Source organism: Homo sapiens, chromosome 17 (genome assembly GCF_000001405.40).
Source record: "Homo sapiens chromosome 17, GRCh38.p14 Primary Assembly".
Taxonomy (NCBI): domain Eukaryota; kingdom Metazoa; phylum Chordata; class Mammalia; order Primates; family Hominidae; genus Homo; species Homo sapiens.
In genome coordinates this window covers 46524456-46550131 of record NC_000017.11, presented here as the reverse complement: position 1 = coordinate 46550131, position 25676 = coordinate 46524456, and the positions used below count along the sequence as shown (strand labels likewise).

The 25676-nt window shown below is 42.1% G+C and overlaps 2 protein-coding genes and 1 pseudogene across 31 annotated transcripts in view; 1 reads left to right on the top strand and 2 right to left on the bottom strand.

Annotated features, from left to right (window-relative positions):
- Positions 1-25676, bottom strand: part of LRRC37A2 (leucine rich repeat containing 37 member A2) — a 676337-nt gene that overhangs the window by 498997 nt on the left and 151664 nt on the right. For 13 of the 17 annotated variants that reach the window (XM_047436145.1, XM_047436146.1, XM_047436143.1 and 10 more), the window contains 4 exons: positions 9885-9956; positions 9251-9325; positions 3759-3877; positions 289-1820 (listed from right to left, as the gene is read on the bottom strand). In XM_047436145.1, coding sequence (XP_047292101.1) covers positions 289-1820; positions 3759-3877; positions 9251-9325; positions 9885-9956 — 1798 coding nt within the window. Of the gene's footprint in view, positions 1-288; positions 1821-3758; positions 3878-9250; positions 9326-9884; positions 9957-25676 lie in introns of those variants that run through there. The other 4 variants (XM_011524843.4, XM_011524848.4, XM_011524849.3 and 1 more) reach the window with 3 other exon arrangements.
- The window catches only part of ARL17A (ARF like GTPase 17A), a 79433-nt gene that overhangs the window by 29591 nt on the left and 24166 nt on the right, over positions 1-25676 (top strand). For 2 of the 14 annotated variants that reach the window (NM_001288811.1, XM_047436213.1), the window contains 2 exons: positions 11706-11781; positions 21273-23044. The exons of 7 other annotated variants lie outside the window; for them this stretch is intronic. In NM_001288811.1, the coding sequence (NP_001275740.1) occupies positions 11706-11781; positions 21273-21363 (167 nt within the window). In that variant the 3' untranslated portion in view covers positions 21364-23044. Of the gene's footprint in view, positions 1-1671; positions 2609-11705; positions 11782-21272; positions 23049-25676 lie in introns of those variants that run through there. 5 more of the 14 variants (NM_001330244.1, NM_001411134.1, XM_017024729.3 and 2 more) reach the window with 4 other exon arrangements.
- On the bottom strand, positions 12318-12598 carry RN7SL199P (RNA, 7SL, cytoplasmic 199, pseudogene; annotated as a pseudogene).

Genomic DNA, 25676 nt, shown 5'->3' with positions numbered 1-25676 from the left:
GTTGGCCAAGCTGGTCTCAAACTCCTGACTTCAAGTAATCCACCCACCTTCGCCTCCCAAAGTGCTGAGATTACAGGCGTGAGCTACCACCCCCGGCCTACAGTTCATCTTGTGCCCTAATCTATTTCTCTCTCTACATGAGCAAAGTGGGAGATCACTGTCATGACCAAAGTTACATGGCCAAGATAAGCTATGGCCTGGGAGTCCCAGACTCTTCTGTGTGGGCACTTTCCTGGGATATGCTAAATGATGGGAAATCTGGGTCTCATGTTTCTGTGTGGTCCTCACCTCAAGCGACTTCTCTTTCTGTTCACTCTGGGCTTCTGTGCTCTCATTAATGTAGTTCTCAATCTTCCATTGGTCCGTATCCCATTCTATCTTGGATGCCTTTACTTCCTGCTGCCCACTGAGAAGCTTCATCAGGTGGCCTGTCCTGGAGATGAGCTTGGCACAGGTCACTTGCACATGGGCCCCAGAGCAGTCCATCTTCAAGGTCCGGATAACATGAGCAATGAGCCTTCTCACATTGTTGTTGGGGATAAGGGACTGTAGCTGCTGGGTTAGCTGAATTTCAAACTGATCACCTGGGGACGAGAGCAATGGGTAATTGAAGCTTTTGGGCTCGGGGGACAGGTCAGTGCCCACGTTGTTGTATTCCCATTTTGTCTCAGTTTGTTTAACAGTTGGCCCTAAGTTGAATGCAGTCCCAGCGGAATCTGCCTCATGAGGATGATTGTAGTTTGTGTTTTCAGAGATGGTTCCTTCTGGCATGTTAGTGTTTTCCATAAAATCATTTTCTTCAAAGGCATTTCTTGCAGTTGTGTGTTTTGTATTATTGTTTTCTATAAAATGTTCTGAAGGAGCAGATACTTCCAGAAAAGGGTTTTCTTGAGGACTCAGGTCTCCTAAGGATGAAAAAGCCCCTTGTGAAGGGGAATTTATGAGGCTCTTCGCTGCAGAGAATGGAAGCCTGTTTGCGAGCATCAGTCTACTCAGATAACTTTTCTTTCTGACCTTTGGACTCTTTTTGACTTTGGGTGTTCTGTGGGTCACGTGGGAGCGAGTTTTGTGAAAGCGGTATTTTTTTCTGGCATGTACGATTGGTTTAGACGTCTTCGTATTTGTAACTCTAGCCTTTGCACTTTCTAAAATGGAAATAGCGTGGGTTAAGTCTTTCCATCTGTCTCTCACCTGTGGTAGGGCTTTTGCAGGGCTGGAGGTAGAAGGCGCGCCCTTGGAGAAGGGTTTCAGCACAGAGACTGCTGCCTTATGCTCTTGGGTGAAGGAAGGCTTGGTGTAGACGGCGTTTCCCGCTAACTTCTCAGGCCCCTGCTGTGTGTGGGGCTGTTCCACCTCCCTTGGGGCTGGACTCCCGAGCCTTTTTTCTTCGGCAGCGTTCTCCACAGATGCCTGGGCACCCTGTTCCCTCCTGATGCTCTGCCTTCCTACCTCTTTGAAGTGCCTTTTCTGGATGCTCCTTGGGCCCATGAGGACTCTCTTCACTCTCTGCCGGTTTTGGCCTACAGTTTGAATCTTTGCCAGGCTGTTTCCTGTGGTTGGCAGTTTAATGAACGGTAGTAACAGTGATTTCACATCTAGGTTTACCGCTGAGAAATAAGGCAAGATGTAACTTAGTGTACTGATAAAATCACTCTCGTCATTGGTGTCTAGCTGCTCACTCCCAAAGCCTGACAAGTTGATGCCACTGCTGTCTGAGGGCTCCTCTGGCTCAACAATCAGCTCAGTGCTTGTGTAGTTCTTCCGGGCTTGTAACACCTTCATGAACGCTCCTTCTGGATTCCCTACCGATGCTTCTTCAGCTGTCAAAAAAGAAGAGACTGCTTTGATCATGAAAGATGATGGGATGGGATGCATCAGTCCATAGCTGTACACCCCAGTCACACAGAGTAGGAGTCAGCAAACATTCGAGTGCCATTCAGAGAGGAGAAACACACACCCAATCCTAAACCTATGAAATGGCAACAACAAAAGGAGAAAATACATCTTTTGAAAACACGGCCACCTACTTGGAACATTCCATAGTGTGACATAGAGTAACTCTGTTTAGGATTATTTCGTTGATCCCCAGAGGCCAATTGCCCAGTGCTCAGTCAAAGCCCAAGGTGGAAGACAAGTGCTTCCCTGATGAGCTGGCCTCTCTGCAGACTGCTCCGTACCCTGTGCTGTCCTGCCTCAGATGCAGAGAGAGCACAAGGCTCCTGCTCTCCTCGTCCTCGGTGCACCTGTGTTCGTGCTACCATCACAGCTGAATGCAATGAAAGGCGGTCCTCTGAGAGGAGCAGGGTGGAGATGCTAAAGTGGAGGCCCCGTCCCATTGCTGATAGATCCTCATCTGGCATGCGCTCCACCCTCCCCATTCTCTGCTCCCACGTATCGTAGCCCCATCACAGAAGATGCGACATGGAAAAACGCACTGTGTCCACCCTAGTTCTTAAATTTGGGCAGGGATTTGGGGTGTATGTTAAGAGTTTTTCAAATTTGCCAGATTGTATGCCTATGTTGTTAAATACACAATGAATCCCTGGTATGATAGCAGTTTCTGGATAAACATTACTTGAGGTCCTAAAATGCAGAAGGGAAAAAGCAACTTTTGTCAGATGCCTACTTTGCTTTCATTTCATCTCTAATATTTTGGATGGGGAATCATCCAAAGCTTCTGACTGCATGAAGGTCAGGTGTGCCAGTGTGCAGCTGGGTTTCTTTTCTGGAATTAAAAGTACTTTGGGTGGTGGTGAGGGTCAGAGGAAGAAGTAAAGATTGTGAGAAAGGGGAAGAAACATGGGCTTGGGGAGAACCCAGAATTGGGGCCAGAAGACCTGGCACTAGGCTACAGCACTTAGCACCTCTGATCTTGTTTTTCCTCATCTGTAAAAGGAGGTTAACAAAGCTTTTCTGCCCACTTCTTGGGGAGAAGGGAATAACATAATTGGTAAAAAAAAAAAAAAAAAAAAAAAGTTTTGAAAAATAAGCAACACTGACTTTATGTAACCAAGCATTATTAATTCTCCACCCCATATCACTGGTAGATACCTGTATTCAAGCTATCTGGACATGAAAGCAGTCACATTTTAGAAGTCATGAAGTTGATGCTAATAAGCCTAATCTACAGAAACACTCTTGAAAGCCCTTGAGCGTTTGTTCTGTGAACAGAAAGGTTTGAGATTCGGAGCAAGTTCAGAGTTGGATGGTCTAAGAATGGAAAAGCCCTCCATTCCATTAGAAGAGCCAGGTAGCAATTTCTGGTTATGGAACCAGAAGCTCTCAGGCTTCAAATAAAACAGCATCACTTGTACTCTTATAAAACTGTAAAAACAGAAAGACCAAAACCGTATCTACATCTGTCCTATAAGGCAGAGAGTACTTGAGATCTCATGGATTTAAAACCAGCTTACAAACTACATTGCACTATATGAAGAAATTATCACTGTGGGCAAAGCATCAAGCAGAGAGCACAGTATACAGTGTGTGGATGTTAATGTTATTCCCTAGCCTTCCCATTCCTTTGTCTTGGTCCTTTCTGCATATGGAACAGTTCTATTATTAAATTTTGTAATAGTAACTGAGAACCTGACTTTCAGCAAGGGAGTAGTTCGGAAATTGAGGGAGTTTAACTCTGAATGAGTAAATAAAAATAAAGCAATTATGTCATTAGCTTAAAATTTTATCATCATTAAAAATAAAAAGTTTAAAAACAAATACTTAATGTAACAATTTATCACCGCGCAATTTGGACTCACGACAATGTGTGGTGTTTGTCAGACATGCACTGTTGCAATGCAGCTTGACTGTCTTGCAGACAGCCTCAATGCTGTTTTTAAATTGGCAGAGGCAGCAGGCCATATGGCTAGGTAAGATCCTATAGATGAAAACAGAGAGCAATAAATTAGCGGTAAAGCGGTTACTTGAGTAGGTAAAGGAGGCAGCCAACGCTACCACAGGTGTGGGAAAAAGGTGTCATTGAAGCCTATGGACTGGACAGTTGGGTAGGAACCAGAAGGCCAATAGGAAGGAGGACAAAAGTGCCCAACTGAAGGGTAAGCATGGCAGTGAGTATGGTATGCCTAGAATAAAGATGGTTGGGATTAGAATTGGGTGACAGTGATTAGTAGTTTCAGAAGTATCTCTTCCCAATTCAAAAGTCTCACTTTGGGCTGAAAGTACAGAGGAAGAAGGTAGACTTTTAAGAAGTCTGAATAAGCCCCCAACTTCTGGAGTCCCTTTCTCAATTCCTGTTGGGAGTGGGAAATATTATAAATTACTCTGGGCATTAAAAATAGCTTAGTTTAACCTGGATTGCGGAGTTAAAAAATAACAAAGACTGCATTGGTCAAATCTGGACAATTTGAGCATTCAAAAGAATAACAACAATAAGTTACCACATATTTAATATAAAGAAGAATCCACGAAGAGTGATATTGAAAAAGAAAGAGGAGGAGTTCTTCTTCAATGAAATAATGCCAGCTAGTAAATGTAGAAGGAATGACAGAATTTTTAAAAGTGTCACTTTGCAACCGTCAGTGTAATACAAATTCATTCAGACAAGGATTATCATTGATGCACATTTGGGTGAAAAAACATTTGAGAACAGGATCTTCACTGAACTCAAAGTAACAACCCACAGATTATTTATTAATTACCAAGGGGAAAATTATTATTTTTTATTTTTATTTTTATTTTGTCACCCAGGCTGAAATACAGTGGCAAAATTATACCTCAATGCAGCCTCAACCCCCCTGGGCTCAAGGGATCCTCCAAATTCAGCCTCCTGAGTAGCTGGGAGTATAGGCTTGCACCACCATGCCCAGCTAATTTTTTTTTTTTTTTTGTACTTTTGTATTTTCAGTAGTGACAGAGTTTCCCCATGTTGCTCAGGCTGGTGTAGAACTCCTGGGCTCAAGCAATCCTCCCACCTCGGCCTTCCAAAGTGCTGGGATTACAAGTGGGAGCCACTGTAGCCAGCAAAATAATTACAATGGAGAGACCTGGAAGATCACCTTAGTCAAGTGATCAAACTTAGTATTACAGGCCATCTGCGGTTACGAGGCAGGAAGGATACATCACCTATGCAGTATTTTTCCCAAAAATGCTTAACTTGAATTTCATCATGAGGAAACAGACAAATCTGGATTGTGGGACAATTTACAAGACAACTATCTTTGACTCTTAAAAAATGCCAGTGTCATGAAAGATCAAAGAAAGTAGAGGCATGTTTTAGATTAAAGGAAATGAAGACATGACATGCAGTGCCTGATCTTTGATTGGATTCTGTACTATTCTTTCATCTTTCTGGCTTGTTTGAATTTTTTCCAATACGTAAATTTGGGCAAAAGAGGTGACCGAGACAATTGATTAATTTATTGTTGTGGCTTATTGGGGGCACTTTCAGAGAGATAAAAACAATCCCTGTAACTGAAGTAAAAGGTTAATCTTAGGCAGTATAGCATGGTCATTAAGAATACAGATTCCATAGCCAGACTATGCTTCAATCTCAGCTCTGCTAATAATGTGAATTTGGGCAAATTGTTTAATCTCTGTTCCTTGGCCTTGTCATTATAATAGTACCTACCTCTAATGAATTTTGAGGATCAAATGAATCAATACCTGAAAAATGCCTGGTGCACAGTGAGTGCTCAATAAGAGTTAACTATAATTATTGTGTTGCAGAGGTTGTGGGGGGCCTTTTCTGAGTCCTCCAAAAGGATGGCTTTATTGGGGCCATATTAAGACTATGAAAACAGAAGAGGGTTTCATGGATACAAGAAGTCTGTGAGTTGGGGGTACAATGTATAGAGTTTTAGATTAAAACTGCATCCAATAAGTTGGCCTGAGACATCTTTCAAACCTATAAAGGAACAATCACAAGTGACTAGTAGTATTCCTTTGGGTCCAGTGGAAGCCTCTGATCTTCATATGGAATGGACCCGGAACCGTAACCCAGCATTTTGTTGTATAGCAACCTTACCTCTGCCACAAAGGTGTTTCTTTTGTTTATTTTGAGGCCGGGTCTCGCTCTGTTACACAGGCTGAGTGCAGTGGTGCAATCTTGGCTCACTGCAGCCTCTGTCTCCTGTGCTCAAGTGATCCTCCCACCTCAGCCTCCTGAGTACCTAGAACTACAGGTGTGTGCCACCACACCTGGCTAATTTTTGTATATTTTGTAGAAATGGGGTTTCACCATGTTGTCCAGGCTGGTCTCGAACTCCTGGGCACAAGCAACCCTCTCTCTTTGGCCTCCCAAAGTGCTGGGATTACAGGCATGAGCCCAAAATTTTTGGTATTCTTTTTCTGCCCCCAAGTTTTTATTTTAAACATTTTCTTTTTTTCCTTTAAGCCTTAGGATGGCTGGGAAACATTTTCAAATGGTATAATGAACACCTGTATAACTTTCATCTGGAATCAGTAGTTGCTAATACTTTGCCACATTAGCTTTCCGTGTGTGTATGTCTATACATTTTCTGGACAAAACCATTTGAGAGTCAGTTGCAGACATAATGACCCTTCACCATTGAAGACTTCAGTGTGCAGCCCCTAAGAACCAAGGCATTCTCTGACATAACCAGAGGACTATCATCACTCAATGGAACTTCATATTATCATTGTCTACTATGCGGTCCGTATACACATTTTCACAATTGTCCCAATCATAACATGGCTTAAAAAATTCACAATCCAATCAAACATCAGACATTACACTTAGTACATGATTCTTTAGTCTCCTTCAATCTAGAACTGTTCCCAGGATTGTTTTAAAGTATACTGACAAATCTTTGAGACTGTAAATGACCTGAGGTATACTTGAGAATAATTTTTCAATACACATGAAAGATCATTACACATGAGCCAAGACTCAAATGAGCTGGCCTACTTACTTTGTACATAAATGTGTAAACTCCTGAAGACTTCCAATAATGAACTCCCATAAGACATTTAGTTCAATGTCTTTATGGCCTTGGTGACAAATCATTACAGAGGATGAGAGCATTTTTCCTATCCAATAATGGTCAAGAAAAAAGCAGACAGATCCTCACTATCTTAGAGAACTAAGTGAGAAAGCTGGTCGATGAAGGGGACTTCATCCAGAGAGGAAGGGATCCAGCTGATGGGGAAGATGCTGCAGGAGGCTGAGGAAAGTGAGGCTAGAGCAGTAAAAGAGATCTGACAACCTGGTCAAGATAAGAAAGTGACCTGACAAAAATGAACGGAGCAGAGTGCTAAATGAAGGGCCCTTTCCATGCTAATCTTGCAAAATGCCCTCAACCAGCCCTAGCATAACTGAGTCTCTATTTAGCTTGCCATATTGTGGGGGCTGGTGGCACAATTGAAGTTGCAGTAAATTGTGTAACAAACTCACAATAGGGCCCCGCAGGCATACATATACATATATACACGTACATATATATAAATATATATATATTTTAGACAGGGTCTTGCTCTGTCACCCAAGCTGGAGTGCAGTGGTGCCATCTTGGCTCACTGCAACCTCCACCTCCTGGGTTCAAGTGATCCTCCTGACTCAGGTTCCCTAGTAGCTGGGACTACAGGCGTGTGCCACCACACCTGGCTGATTTATATATATATCTATATCTATATATATATCCTGCAAAGAAGGCCAGGCACGGTGTCTCATGCCTGTAATCTCAGCACTCTGGGAGGTGAGGCAGGAGGATCACTTGAGACCAGGAGTCCGAGACCAGCCTGGGGAACATACTGAGACCTCATTTCTACAAAAAAATAAAAAATAAAAAAGATACATCACATATGCAAATTAACTCAAAATGGATCATAGACCTAAATGTGTATCATTTCTGGGAGAAGACATAGGAGAAAATCTTTTAGACGCTGGATTAGACAACAGGTTCTTAAAGATTTCTTAGGTAAGAAACAAAAAATCACAAGCCATTTAAGAAAAAAATGCTAACTTAAAGCTGGTCAAAATTAAAAACTTCTGCTCTTCAGAAAACATTTTTATTTCTTACTTTTTTTTTTAGACAGAGTCCCACTCTGTCGCCCAGGTTAGAGTGCAGTGGTGCAATCTCGGCTCATTGCAACCTCCACCTCTCAAGTTCAAGCACTTCTCGTGCCTCAGCCTCCTGAGTAGCTGGGATTACAGGCATGTGCCACCACACCTGCCTAGTTTGTGCATTTTTAGTAGAGATGGCATTTCCACACAACCGGAATACTACTCAGCAATAAAAAGGAGTGAACAGTTGTCCCTCGGTGTCTGCAGGGGATTGGCTCCAGGACCCCCTGCAGATACCAAAGTCCACAGATGCTGAGTTCTTTTTTATGAAATGACATAATGTTTGTATACAGCCTCAGGTATACTCTAAGTACCTAATACAGTGTAAATGGTATGTACATAATTATACTGTATTTTAAATTTTCTACTGCTTTTATTGTTGTATTGTTGTTTTATATATTTTATTTTTTCCAAATATTCCCCATCCATGGTTCGTTGAATCTATGGATGAGGAACCTGCAGATATGGAGGGCCAGCTGTAGTGATAGGTGCAACAACATGGATGGTAGCATAATCTCAAAAAAAATTCTGCTGAGTGAGGCCAGGCAAGGTGGATCTTATCTGTAATCCTAGCACTTTGGGAGGCTGAGGCAGGCGGATCACTTGAGGTCAGGAGTTCGAAACCACCCTGGCCAACATGGCGAAACCTTGTCTCTACTAAAAATACAAAAATTAGCCAGGTGTGGTGGCATGCGCCTGTAATCCCAGCTACTCGGAAGGCTGAGGCAGGAGAACCACTTGAACCTGGGAGGTGGAGGTTGCAGTGAGCCTAGGTCATGCCGCTGCACTGCAGCCTGGGCGACAGAGTGAGATTCCATTTCAAAAACAAAAAAAAAAATTAGGCTTTGTGAAAGGAGCCAAACACAAGAGGCTATGTGCTATATGATTTCATTTATAAGACATTCTGGAAAAGGCAAAAGTATAGGAACAGAAATCAGATTAGTAGCTAACAGGGGCTGATGGTGGGAGGATGGGATTGCCTACAAAGGGACAGTAGGGGCCTTTTTGAGGCATCAGAAATGCTTTATATTGGGAATGTGGTGGTGGTTATGTAACTATACATTTGTCAGACTCATCAAACTGTACACTTAAAAAGCGTGAATGTTACTATATGAAAATTATACCTCAATGAACCTGACTTAAGAAAATAATAAAACAAACCTAAAGAACCAACTAAGTAAAAATAAATCTCAGAAAAAAATAACTTACAGTTTTTCCAGTTCAACAGTCATCATGAGAATGTTCTTAAGTGTTGTAAGTGGGACTAGCGTTGTTCCCATGTCTCTGAAGAAGAAAGCCGAAACATTCATGATATGAGCCCCAATAAAAAATTCTGTACTTAACAATTCAATTTTGGCTTCTCTATTAAACAAGCCAGCTCAAGACTTTATTTGCTGTAGAATTCCAGGGAGCTCTTATTAAAGAAATTAAAAGTTGATTTGCATCATCAAATTAATGATACTCAAGAGCAGAACTGACACTTTTTTTTTTTACCATTATCTTCTCATTTTCATATTGCACTCACCATCTTATTTACTCTTTTCTTTATTTTTAGAATAATGAACACCTTTTCCCCTTTGCTTTCTTGGTTAAATAATATTCCTCCATGTGTCTACATGTTCCAAATCTATATGGGTTCTTCAATGCTGTTCTCTTCCCCTGCTGGCTGTCTTGACCATTATACATCCTCTTAGTTTTTTTCTTCGCCAATAACTTTTTTTCAATAACCCAGTTAAAATTTAAATTATGACATTTTAGCCTAAATGCAAAATACTTAAGCTTTGATGAAAAATTTAAAAAGCATAAATCATCTCTTGACTCATGAGAGTACTATAGTACTTACAGATATTTTAATGCTGGCAATTTAAAGAGATACGGATCTTCAACAGTTGTCAGAGGATTGTGATTGAGAATTCTGAAAAATGGAATGGAATTAAAATAACCTGCATTTTCAATGTGTAAAACTGCATGAAAAGTTTACATTCATTTTTTGATATGGAACTTGTAGGTAAAAAAGAAAAAAATGTTTCCTGTCTTTACCTAAGAAATCACCATTAGACTCCGTAAAGCACTATTCCTATGGGAACTACCAAGGTCTCTAGAAGATAAAGGATAGAACGCGGGGAAGAACTACAAGGAAAAAAAAAGTGGATAGCAAAGAAAAAATATGCCACAGAACTTTTCAGGTCAAAAACCCTAAAAGTGACTATGTTGGTAGGAAGCCCTGACTGTGGAGGAAACAGTATTTCTAGCATCCTCCATAATTCAAGTTGCTCATCATAATTCAAGTTGTTCATCTATTTTTTTTTTTTTTTTTTTTTTGAGATGGAGTCTCGCTCTTGTTGCCCAGGCTGGAGTGCAATGGCTCGATCTTGGCTCACTGCAACCTCCGCCTCCCAGGTTCAAGTGATTCTCCTGTTCTGCCTCAGCCTTCCGAGTAGCTGGGATTACAGGCACCCACCACCACGCCCAGCTAATTTTTGTATTTTTAGTAGAGTCGGGGTTTTACCATGTTGGTCAGGCTGGTTTTGAACTCTTGACCTCAGGTGATCTACCTGCCTCAGCCTCCCAAACTGATAGGATTACTGGCATGAGCCACTGCGGCTGGCTGCTTGTCTTTTATCTTTATAAAGTTTTTAAAATTTATGGTTTAATTTGCACAGTTAAAAAAAAATAGGACCAATTCTTTTGCTTTATAGCCAAAGAAGAAGGAATAAATCTAAGAGGAGGAACTGGTCAAAACCATACTCCCACTTGTCTTCTTGTATGACATCACAGCCTTTCTTACATTGCATGTAATCACCTGTCCACTTGTCAGGCTCCTGGACTATGAGCGCTTTGAGGGCAGAGACCACATTTTTTTTTTTTTTTTTTTTTTCTGAGATGGAGTCTCACTCTGTCACCCAGGCTGGAGTGCAGTGGTGCAATCTTGGCTCACTGCAATCTCCGCCTCCCAGGTTCAAGCAATTCTCCTGCCTTAGCCTCCCAAGTAGCTGGGATTACAGGTGCCTGCCACCATGCCCTGTCATCCCCGTGCCTGGCATGATGTCTGAAATGTATTAGGCATTTAACAAATGTTTATTGAATAAACAAATGACATTTTGTTCATATGTCAATAAAATGAATAAATTGATTTTGATGCAAATTTTTATTCCAAAATGCTGGAATCGATTTTCTTTTTAATTCTTTAAGGTGAACAAGAAAAATAAAAGAAACAGGAAGAAATAAAAGAAAATCTACCTTTAGGTTAACCCAAGAATCATCTTTGTACTTAGGCAGAAATTATAAAAATAATAATTATTACAGTGAGTATCTACTGGGTTGCCAGGTATTTGTGATCAGCAAATACCTTATGTGGTAGATATTATTATTGCCCTATTTTTAAATGAGGAAACTGAGGCACAGAGAGGTTAGATAACTTGTCCTAGGTCACCAAGCTATTAAGCAGCAAAGCTGTAATTTGAACTCGTGTTTAATCTGTATGAAGAAAAAGGGTTTATTTTAACCTTAGGTTTTTAAAAAATTTTCATTTTTGTTCTTCATTCTTTTTCTCTCTCTTTTTCCTTCCTTCCTTCCCTCCCCCTTCCTTCTTTCTATTTTCTTTCCTTTCCTTTCTTTCCTTTCTCCTCTCCCCTCCACTCCCCTCCCCTCCCCACCCAAACAGGGTCTTGCTCCATTGACCAGGCTGGAGTGCAGTGGCGTGATCTTGGCTCACTGCAACGTCCTCTTCCCAAGCTCAGGTAATCCTCCTTCCTCAGTCTCCCAAATAGCTGGGACTATAGGCACGCACCACCACGCCTGGCTATTTTTTGTGTTTTTAGTAGAGATGGGAGTTTCACCATGTTTGCCAGGCTGGTCTTGAACTCCTGATCTCAAGTGATCCGCCTGCCTTGGCCTCCCAAAGTGCTGGTGTGAGCCACTGGGCCCAGCCTTAATTGTGAGAAGACTAAATACAGAAGTGCCTTTCAACCTTCTTCTACTCCTCTGGGAGGACCTCTATGAGAATTACAATTTCTCATTAGCAGGGCACGGCAGTGCTTGCCTGTAATTCCAGCTGTTTCAGAGGCTGAGGCAGGAGAATTGCTTGAACCCAGGAGGCGGAGGTTGCAGTGAGCCAAGATCAAGCCACTCTACTCCAGCCTGGGCGACAGAGCAAAAAAAAGTGGATTACAGTTTCTCTTTTTATGTCTTTCCCCTAATCATTTCCCATGATTAAATAGTTTATTAGTCTATGGTCAATGAGACTTTTTTTTTTTTTTTTAAGAGACACATTCTCACTCACTGTGTTGCCCAGGCTGGAGAGCAGTGGCTATTCACAGCCATGATCCCACTAGTGATCAGCATGGGAGTTTTGACCTGCTCTATTCCTGAACTGGGCTGGTACACCCCTTTTTAGGCAACCTGGTGGTCTCCTTTTCCCGGGAGGTCACCATACTGATGCTGAACTTAGTGCGGACACCCAATCAGCATAGCATGCTACAGCCCAGAATTCCTGGACTCAAAGGATCCTTCTTCCTTTGCCTCCCGAGTATCTGGGACTACAGGCATGTGCCCAGTGAGCCTTCAGAGATTTAAAATCATGTCGTAAGTGACATCAGTGAAAATGGTGGAATAAAGACATGCAGGCTGGGCGCAGTGGCTCACACCTGTAATCCCAGCACTTTGGGAGGCTGAGGCAGGCGGATCACGAGGTCAGGGGATCGAGACCATCCTGGCTAACAAAGTGAAACCCCGTCTGTACTAAATATACAAAAATTAGCTGGGCGTGGTGGCAGGCGCCTGTAGTCCCAGCTACTCGGGAGGCTGAGGCAGGAGAATTGTGTGAACCCGGGAGGTGGAGCTTGCAGTGAGATGAGATTATGCCACTACACTCCAGCCTGGACAACAGAGTGAGACTCTGTCTCAAAAAAAAAAAAAAAAAAAAAAAAAGAGACATCCAAAAATTCATCCCTTCATAAAAGCAACAAATACCAAAAAAAATAGCAAAAAAAAAAAAAAAAAAAAAAAAAAAAATTGACCACAATAAACTTTTTCAGAACTCTAGAAATGTAACCAAAGTCTTGCAGCAACCCAAGGAGCATTTATTCAAAAAAAATTTCTGTAAGAACAGTGAGATTTGTGTTAACTTGCCTTAGACCATTCCTCACCCTCTAGCTCAGTAGTCGCCTTGGAAAACAGCCCACATCCCCAACCAGAGGGAGCAGAATGGAGCTGGAGCTCCTTCAAAGCCTTATTCTCAGTTAACTGTCATGATGTCATCTGTCTGGTGGTTCCCTGGAAGACCTCATTTGAAAGGTTTGTCTTTATTTGACCAGAATGAAAGCTGTCTAGTGCTAAAGCCTCTCCACAGAGGGTGTTTTTGGAAAACAATTACAGACAAGTGTTTTAACATGGCAACTGTATTCGGCAATGAATAACAGTTTGGGGGAAAAAAGCCTAATCAAAAAGCTTAATAGGAAAAGCTGAGGAATAAGATGTCCACAGGAATTTGAAACACTCTGATATATGCTTGGGAAACTAGAAGTCCATAAGACATATTCCTGGCAATTTGGAATGTCACGCGCATGCATAGGGCAGACTGTCAGCATGGTCAGGAAAGACCTACTAAGTTCATAAACTCTCACCCCTGGCTGACACCTTGAGGTTCTGCACAAGCAAGAAGTGAAAGCTAAGGCATGGCTGTAAATTGTCTAGCTGAGTGCTGAAGGTATGCCCCAACATGTACACAGAGCCCCTTGGCAAAAACTAGGAGACTTATCAGTTCCAAGAATTTAAGTAAATCTTCATTTAATCATTACCTGATCGGTAAGCTAACCGAGGAGGGACTTTAGTGGGAACACATGACATATAATGCGAGACTTTACAGAAGAAGTTCAGAAAAGTCACTAAATAAATAGCAACTACTAACACAAGCAGGAGTAACACCAAACCCTGGCAGCATGGATCTGATTTTCAGAATTGCTACATTATATTATTTAAAATATTCAATTTTTAACAAACATTTATGAAAGATGCAAGGAAACAAAGTATGGCCCAAACACGTGGTTGGGGGAGAAATAAGCAGAAATTGTCCCTGAGAAGGACCAGATGTTAGACTTACTAGACAAAGATTTTTTTATTTTTTATAGGTGGGGTCTTGCGAAGTTACCCAGGGTGGTCTTGAACTCCTGGCCTCAGCCTCAACCTCAGTCTCAGCCTCCCAAAGTGCTGGGATTATAGGCACGAGCGACCATGCCTGGCCTAGAGAAGGATTTAATTCAGCTATTTAAAATATGTTCAAAGAGATAAGAGAAACGATTCAGTTCTGTAGACTAGAGAACTAAAGGAAAGTATGAAAGCAATGTCTCATCAAATAGAGAATATCAATAAAGAGATAGAAACCATAAAAAGGAGTCAAATAGAAATTCTAGAGTTGAAAAGTATGGTAACTGAAATGGAAAAATTATTAGAGGTTCTCAATGGCACATTACAGCAGGCTGAAGACAGAATGGGGAACTTGAAGGTTAATTGAGATTGTTGACTCTGAGGAACAGAAATAAAAATGAATGAAAGTGAATGGAATCTCAGAGACCTGTTTGTGGAACACATCATCAAGCTTACTAACATACACATAATGAGCGTCCCAGGAGAAGAAAAACAGAAAAAAGGAGAAAGAATATTTGAAGAAATGATGGCCCCAAACTTCCCAAACATGATGAAAAACAATCTGCATATTCAAGAAGCTCAAGGAACTACAAGTAGGAAAAACTGAGGGATCCACATCTAAACATACTGTAATCAAACTGACAGAAGCCAAAGACAGAATATCTTGAAAGCAGCAAGAGAAAAGCAACTCATCACATACAAGGGATCCTCAATAAGATTAATAGCTAATTTCTCTTCAAAAACAATGCAGGTGCTGGACATGGTTGCTCACACCTGTACTCCCAGTACCTTGGGAGGCTTGAGGCTCAAGAATTGCTTGAAGCCAGGAGTTGGATACCAGCACTGGCAATAGAGTAAAACCCTGTCTCTACAAAAAATTTGAAAATAACTGGGCATGCCCGTCTGGGATGTGAGGAGCGCCTCTGCCCGGCCGCGACCCTGTCTGGGAGGTGAGGAGCATCTCTGCCTGGCCGCCCCGTCTGAGAAGTGAGGAGCCCCTACGCCTGGCAGCCGCCCCATCTGAGAAGTGAGGAGCCCCTCCGCCCAGCAGCCGCCCCGTCTGAGAAGTGAGGAGCCCCTCTGCCCGGCAGCCGCCCTGTCTGGGAGGGAGGTGGGGGCCAGCCCCCGCCTGGCCAGCCGCCCCCTCCGGGAGGTGGGGGGGCGCCTCTGCCCGGCTGCCCCTTCTGGGAAGTGAGGAGCCCCTCTGCCCGGCCGCCACCCCGTCTGGGAGGTGTACCCAACAGCTCATTGAGAACGGGCCATGATGACGATGGTGGTTTTGTTGAATAGAAAAGGGGGAAATGTGGGGAAAAGATACAGAAATCAGATTGTTGCTGTGTCTGTGTAGAAAGAAGTAGACATAGAAGACTCCATTTTGTTCTGTACTAAGAAAAATTCTTCTGCCTTGGGATGCTGTTGATCTATGACCTTACCCCCAACCCAGTGCTCTCTGAAACATGTGCTGTGTCCACTCAGGGTTGAATGGATTAAGGGCGGTGCAAGATGTGCTTTGTTAAACAGATGCTTGAAAGCAGCATGCTCGTTAAGAGTCATCACCACTCCCTAATCTCAAGTACCCAGGGACACAAACACTGTGGAAGGCCGCAGGGTCCTCTGCCTAGGAAAACCAGAGACCTTTGTTCACTTGTTTATCTGCTGACCTTCCCTCCACTATTGTCCTATGACCCTGCCAAATCCCCCTCTGCGAGAAACACCCAAGAATGATCAATAAAAAAAAATTAAAAAAAACAAAAACAAAAACAAAAAAAACTGGGCATGGTGGTGCATGCCTGTAGTCTCAGCTACCCAGGAGGCTGAGGTGACAGCATTGCTTAAGCCTGGGAGGTGGAGGCTGCAACGTTGTGAGTGGTTGCACCACTGCACTCCAGCCTGGGTAACAGAGCAAGACCCTGTCTAAAAACAAAGCAACCACACACAACACTGGAGGACAAAAGGCAATGAAATGGCATATTCAAAGTGCTGAAGAAACTGTCAACCAATAATTCTATACCTGGCAAAACTACCTTTGAAATTGAAGAGAAATTAAGATATTCTAGATAAATAAAAACTGAGAGACTTTGTTGCTAGAAGACCTGCCCTATAAGGAGTACTAACGTGAATCTGCACAAAGAAATAAAAAGCACTGGCTGGGCGCAGTGGCTCAGGCCTGTAATCCCAGCACTTTGGGAGGCTGAGGCTGGAGGATCACTTGAGGTCAAGAGGTTGAGACCAGCCTGGCAAACATGGTGAAACCCTGTCTCTACTAAAAATACAAAAATTAGCTGGGTGTGGTGTTACGTGCCTGCAGTCCCAGCTACTCAGGAGGCTGAGGCACTAGAATCGCTTGAACCTGGGAGGCAGAGGTTGCGGCGAGTAAAGATTGTGCCACTGCACTCTAGCCTGGGCAACAGAGTGAGACTCTGTCCCAAAATAAAGAAAAAAAAAAAAAAGAAAAAGATACTTACATAATGCAATAATTATAAATCTAGTTGATGAACATAAGGTATATAAAGATGTAATGTGTGACAATAACAGTATAAAGGAGGGGGTGAGAGTGGAGCTTTAGAGAAGCAAAGTTTTTGTATACCATTGAAACAAAGTTGGAATTAATCTGAACTACAACGTTATAAAATTAAGATGTAGCTGAGACTACAGGTGCGCACCACCACACTCGGCTAACTAAAAAAAATTTTTAGAGATAGGGTCTCACTATGTTGCCCAGGCTGGTCTCAAACTCCTGGCCTCAAGCAATCCTCCTTCCTTGGCCTCCCAAAGTACAGGGATTATAGGTATGCACCACTGCATCTGGCCACAAACATTTTGTTTTCTTACTGTTCATTTTTCAAGACAGGTTTTCACTCTGTTTCCCAGGCTGGAGTGCAGTGGAACAATCATGGCTCACTGCAGCACCGATCTCCCGGGCTCAAGTGATCCTCCTGCCTTAGCCACCTGAGTAGCTGTGACTACAGGCATGTGCCACCACGTTCAGCTAACTTTTACATTTTTTTTGTAGAGATAAGCTCTCAGTATGTTGCCCTGGCTGGCCTCGAACTCCTGGGGTCAAGCAATCCTCCCACCGCAGCCTCCCAAAGTGCTAGGATGACAGGTGTGAGCCACTGCACTGCAAAAATACAGAAGACCAAATTATTAAAACTAGAAATGAGAGGGGACATTACTATTGTTCTTAGAGACATAAAAAGGATTATAATATGAATAAAAAGGATTATACATATAAACAATATATGCTAATAATTGGATAAGCTGGATGAAAGACACATTACCAGAAAGATATGAACTACTGAATCTGACTTGAGAAAAAAACAGAAAATCTGAATAGACAGACCTATGTCAAGTAAAGAGATTGAGGTAGTAATCAAAAAACTTTCCACTAAGAAAAGCTGAAGACCAGCAGGCAGCCTCACTGGTGAATCTACCAAATACTTAAAGAAGAATTAACACCAATCCTTCATAAAGTCTTTCAAAATACAGATGAGGAAAGAACATTTCCTAACTTATTCTATGAGGGTGATATTAACCTGGTATCCAAACTAAAGACATCACACACAAAAAATTACAGACCAGTATTTCTTATGAATGTAGATGGAAAAATGCTTGACAAAATCTGGCAAACCAAATTCAACGGAGTATTCTGTAAACATGAAGCAGATAATAATAGCATGATTCTCCAAACTGATCTATGGTTTCACTACAATTGTTGTTTTTTTGAGTGAAAAAGTTTTCATTTATTGGCTGGGCATGGTAGCTCATGCCTGTAATCCCAGCATTTTGGGAGGCTGAAGCAGGTGGATCATCTGAGGTTAGGAGTTCGAGAGCAGCCTGATAAACGTGCTGAAACCCCGTCTCCATTGGAGTCTCACTCTGTTGCCCAGGCTTGAGTGTAATGGCGTCACCTGAACATCTATGTGCAAAATAATGAAGGTGGACCCCCTACATCTCACACGATTATAAGAATTGATGCAAAATATGTCAAATACCTAAATGTAAGAGCCAAAACGATAAGACTCTTACACAAAAACATGGGAGTAAATTTCATGACCTTAAATTAGACAACAGTTTTTTCTTCTCCAAACTGGATTTTTTTTCTTTTAAAACAATTTTGTCTTTTGAATTTAATGAAGTATTACTAGCTGAAGGCAGCCTGACATGGTGACAAGAATGTCAGACAGATGAAAGGGACACAGCCTGATTTAAAACCAAACACTGAACCTTTTTAAAGAAGAATAAGACATTTTATACACACACATGACACCAAAAGCACAAACAACCAAAGGAAAAATAGATACATTAGATTTTATCAAAATTAAAAACTTTTGTGCATCAAAGGACACTGGCAAGAAAGTCACAGAACTCACAGGATGAGAGAAAATATTGGCAAATTATCTGTTAAGGTCTAATATCCAGAGTATCCAGAAGATATAGAGAAATTCCTATAATTCAATAAAAAGACAAATCAATTTTTTAAATGGGCAGAGGATGTGAATAAATATTTCTTCAAAGAAGATATATAAATGGCTCATATACACATAAAAATGTTGAATGTCTTAAATCATTAGGGAAATGTCCATCAAAAACTGCAGCGAGATACTACTTTACACTCACTGGGATGGCTATGAGAAGAGACAGACAACGACAGTGTTGACAAAGACCCGGAGAAATTGAAACCCTCAAACATTGCAGATGGAAGTGTAAAATGGAGCAGCCACTGTGGAAATCAGCCTGACAGGTCCTCAAAAAGTTAAACATAAGAGTTGCCATACGATCTAGCAATTCTGCTAGGGATGCACCCTAGAATTAAAAACATGTCCACGCAAAAAGTAGTACATGCATGTCCATAGCAGCATTATTCATAAAAGCCAAAATAAAGTAGAAACAACCACATGTCCACTAAGTGATGAATGGATGAACGGATATAGTGATGGCTCCATACAATGGAATATCACTCAGCCTTGCAAAGGAATGATCCATGCTGCAGCATGGGAGGACCTTAGAAACAACATGCTTCGTGAAAAGAAACTAGACACAAAAGGCCACATACTGTATGATTCGTTTATATGAAAGATCTAGAATAGGCAAATCCATAGGGACTCAAAGTAGATTAGTAGTTACCTGGGCCTGCGGGAAGACAGCACTGGGGAGTGATGGCTAATGGGTACCATGTTTCTTTTTGGGATGATGAAAATGTTCTGGGGTTAGATAATGGTGATTGTTTGCTATACAACCTTGAGAATATACTAACCACCACTGAATTGTACACTTTATAATACTGCGTTGATGGTACGTGGATCAAGTCTCAATGTAACACAAAGAAGCATGTTGTACTGTATAGAACACCAGGTGCCAGAAGACCAAACATGCTGGCAGATGGAAAAAAGAGGAGTGAAGATTCATTCTCCCTTGACCAAGATCAGAGTGAGTCAGTGGCGAGGCTGGGAGCCACACAGCTTGTCCTGCCTTGTGATCCCCCTCCTCTTTCCTATTCCAGATGGTTTTTCAGTGCCATTAACTTGTTTTGTAACACTAATATTCAATAAGATGATGTTACAAAGAGAAAGAATGTGAGTGCCACATGACTGGTTAAGTATGGATTCTCAAACTAGGGCTTTAAATATCCTTCGTGATTTTTTTTGGCATGAAAACTTGTAAGACCACTGGTGGGCTCTGTACAAAGTCGGCTACCCCTTCATTCTATATCTTCCTCTGCCCACTTTCCTCCCAGCTATTAAAAATGAATGTAGGCTGGGCACAGCATCTCAAGCCTGTAATCTCAGCACTTTGGGAGGCCAAAGCAGAAGGAAAGCTTGAGCCCAGGAGTTTGAGACCAGCCTGGGTAACAAAGTGAGACCCTGTTTCTATTTTTTTCTAAACACCAAAAATAATGACTGTAAGGCAGTATGTAGCCAAACAACTTGGCAAAGTTTGTTATCTTTCCTCCAAAATTCTCTCACTCTCCAACCTTCCCTCTTTCTTGATAGCTCATCCATAGCCTTGAGCTCAGCATTACCTCTGAACTAGGAAGCTCTTCTCCAGCTGACATTAGGATCTTTGCATTTGTCCCTAATGAAATCAAAATATAGGGCCATTCGATATTATCCTCTTTTCCTCCTGTTCTAAGGCATTCTTTTCTTGACTAAGGTTGTGCCTGGGCCATGGAGAGACTGAGTGGGAACTGGCTCAACGGCTCAAGTTTGAGGACTCTACAGCAACTCTTTTCCACAAACCAAATGATATGAGTGTTTTTATTTATTTATATTTATGTTTCCACTTTTTAAAAGTCTTTTTGTAGAGATTGGGGTCTCACTTTGTTGCCCAGGCTGAACTTGAACTCCAGGGGCTCAAGCGATCTGCCTGTCTTGGCCTCTTAAAGTGCTGGGATTACAGGCATGAGCCAGCGCGCCCAGCCTTGAGTGTTTTTAGATTCACAGTAGATGACCATTTCCATTTCTGGTTCAAGTCCTTCATTTTATACATTAAACTAAGGTGCACTGACTCCCAGTCCATCGCCTTTTTGGTATCTTTATGGAAGTAAAATGTGGCAAGCTTTTTTTCAGCCTCAAAGACTGTCTCAGAGTAAAAGTTTAAGAAGTACTGCTCTAAATAATTTTATTAAATATGCCTTATTAGATGAGGAAAACTGAAATATTTTTATACAAGCCTTTTGCTGTAGAACAATGGGACAGAATAAAGGTAGCTCACAAAATAAGGGAACATTTCTTGCTTGTTCTTTTTTTTCCCTCCAAATTCTTCTGTACAGGTCCAGATAGATGAGCTATGTTTCCTTTCTATTAACTGAGGAGAGAGAGATGAAAGGACTGGAGCATGTCATCACTGTCTTAAATGTACTGAAATCCTAACAGCTCTAGCTGAAAAAATGTCCAAAGCAGGCTGTGAAAATAAATTTAAATGACAAACTCCAAAATGATCTATGCTAGAATCCCAAGGCTGTCAGGGAAAACTGGTTCCATGGAAGAAGGTAGTCAAAGAAATAAGCAGATGACCTAGACCCTCACCCAATATGCGCGATGTACTTGGGGAGAAAGTAACCTCTTTCCTTTATTCACCTACATAGGTTCGTGAGCCACACATCTCCCCACACCAAGCTCCTCCATACAAGACCTCGGACTGCATCACGTAAATGCTTTTTCAGGGGCAAAATCTAGAGAATCTGAAATGGTGAGCCTTTTTCCTTTTTTTTTTTTTTTTTGAGATGAAGTCTCACTCTGTTGCCCAGGCTGGAGTGCAGTGCAGTGGTGTGATCTTGGCTCACTGCAAACTCCACCTCCTGGAGTCAAGTGATTCTCCTGCCTCAGCCTTCAGAGTAGCTGGGATCATAGATGCCCGTCCCCATGCCTGGTTAATTTTTGTATTTTTAGTAGAGACAGGGTTTCACCATGTTGGCCAGGCTGGTCTCGAACTTCTGAGCTCAAGTGATCCACCCACCTTGGCCTCCCAAAGTGCTGAGATTACAGCATGAGACACCATGCCCAGCTGTGAGCCTGTATCTTAATCAAAGTCCTGAGAATAACCTTGAAGAAGACTCCCTTGCAATGAGCAACAACAGAAGAAGCAAGGGACCTGGAATCTGGCAGACCTGGGTTTGAATTCTGGCTCTGTCACTTTCTGGTGAAGTGACTTGAGTAATGAACATGAGCCTTTCTGGGTAGCGTTTACAGCACAAAGCAATTTGAGGAATAAATGAAAGAGCACGTGTCTAGTGCCTAGCAATGCGCTGGACACAGTGCCGGTGCTCAGCCATCATGTCACACCAGCACTGACCGGTGAGCATAAACCCTGGGGATGCCCAGAGCTGGTACAGCCAGGAGCTCCAGAAGCGTGGGATTCTCAGAGGGAAGTGGAGCTCACTGCTCTACAGGTCCTGTTCAAGTTAGAAAGTAAGATACAATGCACACAAAGCCAAATTGTCATCATTCAGCTCCTATTACAGGGGAACTAAGAGCTGCATTGAAAATTATTTGCAAAGCTTGTAAGTGGTTCTGCCACTTATTAGCCGTGTGAACCTTAGCAAATTACCTAGCGTCTCTGAGTTTCAACTTCCTCATCTACAAAATAGAAATGATAATAATAACCGCATCGCAAGAGTTGTTGGAAAAATGAAAATGAGGTATCATAGGAGGTAACATGTATGGAGCATTTACCATAGGCCAAGCACTGTTCTAAGAACTTCGGACATGTTATCTCACTTGTATAAGTACTTAGGTGCCTACAACATAAACAGCACCTGGTAAATTAAGTATTGAAAAAATGCTATGGGGCAGAGGAAGAAATGCTAAGCTTCTGTGAGAAGAGAAGACAGCTTGTTACACAGGTGAAAAGAACAAGCTGCAGCTGAGAGAAGAAAAGTATAAGAGTTGCTAGGTGTGACAATCTCAAGACTTTTCAACCACTACAAATTTAAACAGCCACCCTAAATCACCCCAAAGGACAGACTCGAGTTGTTCTTTTTGTCTTTAATGTTTGCGCCTCTCCGAATCAGAGAAGAAGCTGCCAGGATTCCAGTACATACCAAAACATGATGACAATACCCTCAACTGTGCAAACTTTTGTGCATCTACCGCTATGTAAAGGAAGCTGATGTCAGTAGACTGGGGGGAACAGTAAGGCATGTTTGTGACCGAAGCTCAATTTGCCATCACAGTGTGGCCACACCTACCTCACTAGTATTCTAATAGTGGGATAAATAATTCAATAGGGATAAAGCCTGGATTTTCCTCTTATTCTCTCTTAGTGCTTACATTCTTGGCATGATATCGATGTGCCATAGACAAGCCAATATGTGAGTGTACTCTATCTGAATAAAGTATAGCCTTTCTACATTGCAAAGTCATCCAGTTTCTAAAATTATTGTTAGAACCAATGAAGTGACTAAGAGAATTTTAAAAAATAAGCCATCAGTCTGGACCTGTGTATAGGAATGAAGGAGAAGCACTTTAAAGTCAGGGAAAAAATATAAACATACTTAACATTTAGGATTATCAACCATTGCTGCTTTTCCATAAACCATTTCATTCATGATTTCATCTGTAAGAGATATGATTATTGCCCCCATTCAGTGAGGGACTTTGATAGTTAGCCGCCTGGTCCTTCTTGCTTGGATGCCCTGCAAATAAATGTCCTCCTTTCCCCAATGCAAAACCTCGATATGGTTGTTTGACTTTACTGCGCTTGGGCCAGCAGAATCCAGTTAAGTCCACTAATAAGCTCTTGGCCTGTCTTTGAGATGGATTTCAGATTCAAAATAGACAGACCCTATCACCCTGCTAACTTGGCCAGTCAGTATTTGTCAATAACATAGAGGCTTCATTCAAGAGATTTACTGGGTTGTAACTATTGGAACCCAGGGATGATTTCAGGATTTTGTGGGGCCTGAGCCTTATCTAGTAAAAACATTAAAAAAATTATGAATACAAAAATTTCCAGGGGCCCTCCCACGACCTTGGAAGGGCCTGTGCAAGTGAGAAGCCTGGAAGGTTAGGCTCTATTCATCATCGATCAACCACAGCTGGGGCCTCTTTTTTTGTTTGTTTTTTATAAACTTGTGTAATGCAGGGAAATATATTGTTTCAACTTACAAACACCACAAAATGGTGTCATATTGGTCATAAAATTACTGGCACCTTCCCTTGGCATCTTGCCTTTGGAAGGAAATGCAGTGGGCCTATATGTCACATATGCCAAATATGACTGCAGTGTAGCTTTGTTTACCAGGAAGATTTGACTCCAAAAGGGCCCAGCCCCTAACATACACTTGGTGTGTTGAGACCCTTGTGCCAATCTTTGAAAGTAACTGTGACTTAGTTTGAAGGGTACAGCTCTATTCTGTTTATATGAAATGAGTGCTAGTTTCCAATATCAGCTAGCTCTGATTTTTTCATCACCATGAAGCAAATGCCTTTTTCTGTTGTTTAAGATGAACACAGAAACTCAAGATAAGCAAGTTAGTGTCTCTCAAGTCTTTCTTAACCCAGCCCCCATTCCTGCTTTGTCCTCTCCTTGTCACCCTGCCGTACAGATCCCCACATGGCTCTCATATGTTTTCCCATCAGCATCCGCTTCCTCCTTGAGGAATGAAAGTCCCCTGGGGACAAAGTCCTCATCTTGGTGTGTCTTTGAGATGGATTTTGTAGCCCCAGCACTTAGTACAGTACCTGGCACAAATGGACATGACACTCTGAATGTTTTTGAGTGAATTCATTAATTTTTATCAACTGTGATTCCAGTGTTTTCCTGGTGTTGCCTACATAATTGTAGTGAAGCTGGCTAGATGATGATGATGATGATGATGATGATGATGATTATTATTATTATATTATTATTATTATTTGAGACAGAGTCTCACTCTGTCCCTCAGGCTGGAGTGCAATGGTGCCATCTCGGCTCACTGCAACCTCCGCCTCCTGGTTTCAAGTGATTCTCCTGCCTCAGCCTCCTGAGTACCTAGGATTACAGTTGCCTGCCACCATGCCCAGCTAATTTTTGTATTTTTAGTAGAGACAGGTTTCACCATGTTGGTCAGGCTGGTCTTGAACTCCTGACCTCAGGTGATCCACCCACCTCAGCAAAGTGCTGGAATTACAGGCATGAGCCACCGCTCCCGGCCACCAGATTTTTATGAGGGACTCCCAGTTGTATAAAGTGCTTAGTAAAGATGGTGAGTTTAAAACATTTGTATTGATGCTACCTAAACCTCTTGGTGGAGGGACCTAATGAGCCTGTTCTCTGGTGTGAGGGCAAAAGAAAAACAGACCTTTAGTGTACTTTTCCTAAGTTATGCATCAGCAAATTAATGAGGACAGAGGGGAGCATGTGCAGAAACTGCTGCTCTAGTCCAGACACATCCTGAATGCCTCCCTCTAACTTGAAATGAACTGTGTGAAACTAGATTTCTGAACCACAAGGCAGGTGGAACGTCTTTTCTAAAGTCAGATGTAGAGGAGAATCTTCACCTTGAGTCCCCTTCAGGCCACTGAATATACCCACTCTGATTTGATGGGTATGTTATACAGAGAAATCATAGAATTTTTGCAATTATGGTAGAAGAGTAGTCAGGAAAGTATATGGAATTAAGATACAGCGATATATTTTCTTTACAAAAGTTTTTTTTTGCACAATAGCTTAACATAAACACCATCTTGGCCAGGCATGGTGGCTCACACCTGTAACCCCAGCACTTTGGGAGGCTGAGGTGGGCGGATCACCTGAGGTCACAGGAGTTCGAGACCAGCCTGGAGGGGAGGTTGGAGGGTAGTGGCACAATCTCGGCTCACTGCAACTTCCCCCTCCTGGGTTCAAGCCATTCTCGTGCCTCAGCCTCCCGATAGCTAGGATCACAGGTGCCCGCCACCATGACCTGCTAATTTTTGTATTTTTAGTAGAGATGAGGTTTTGCCATGTTGGCCAGGCTGGTCTCAAACTCCTGACCTCCAGTGATCCTCCCACCTTGGCCTCCCAAGGT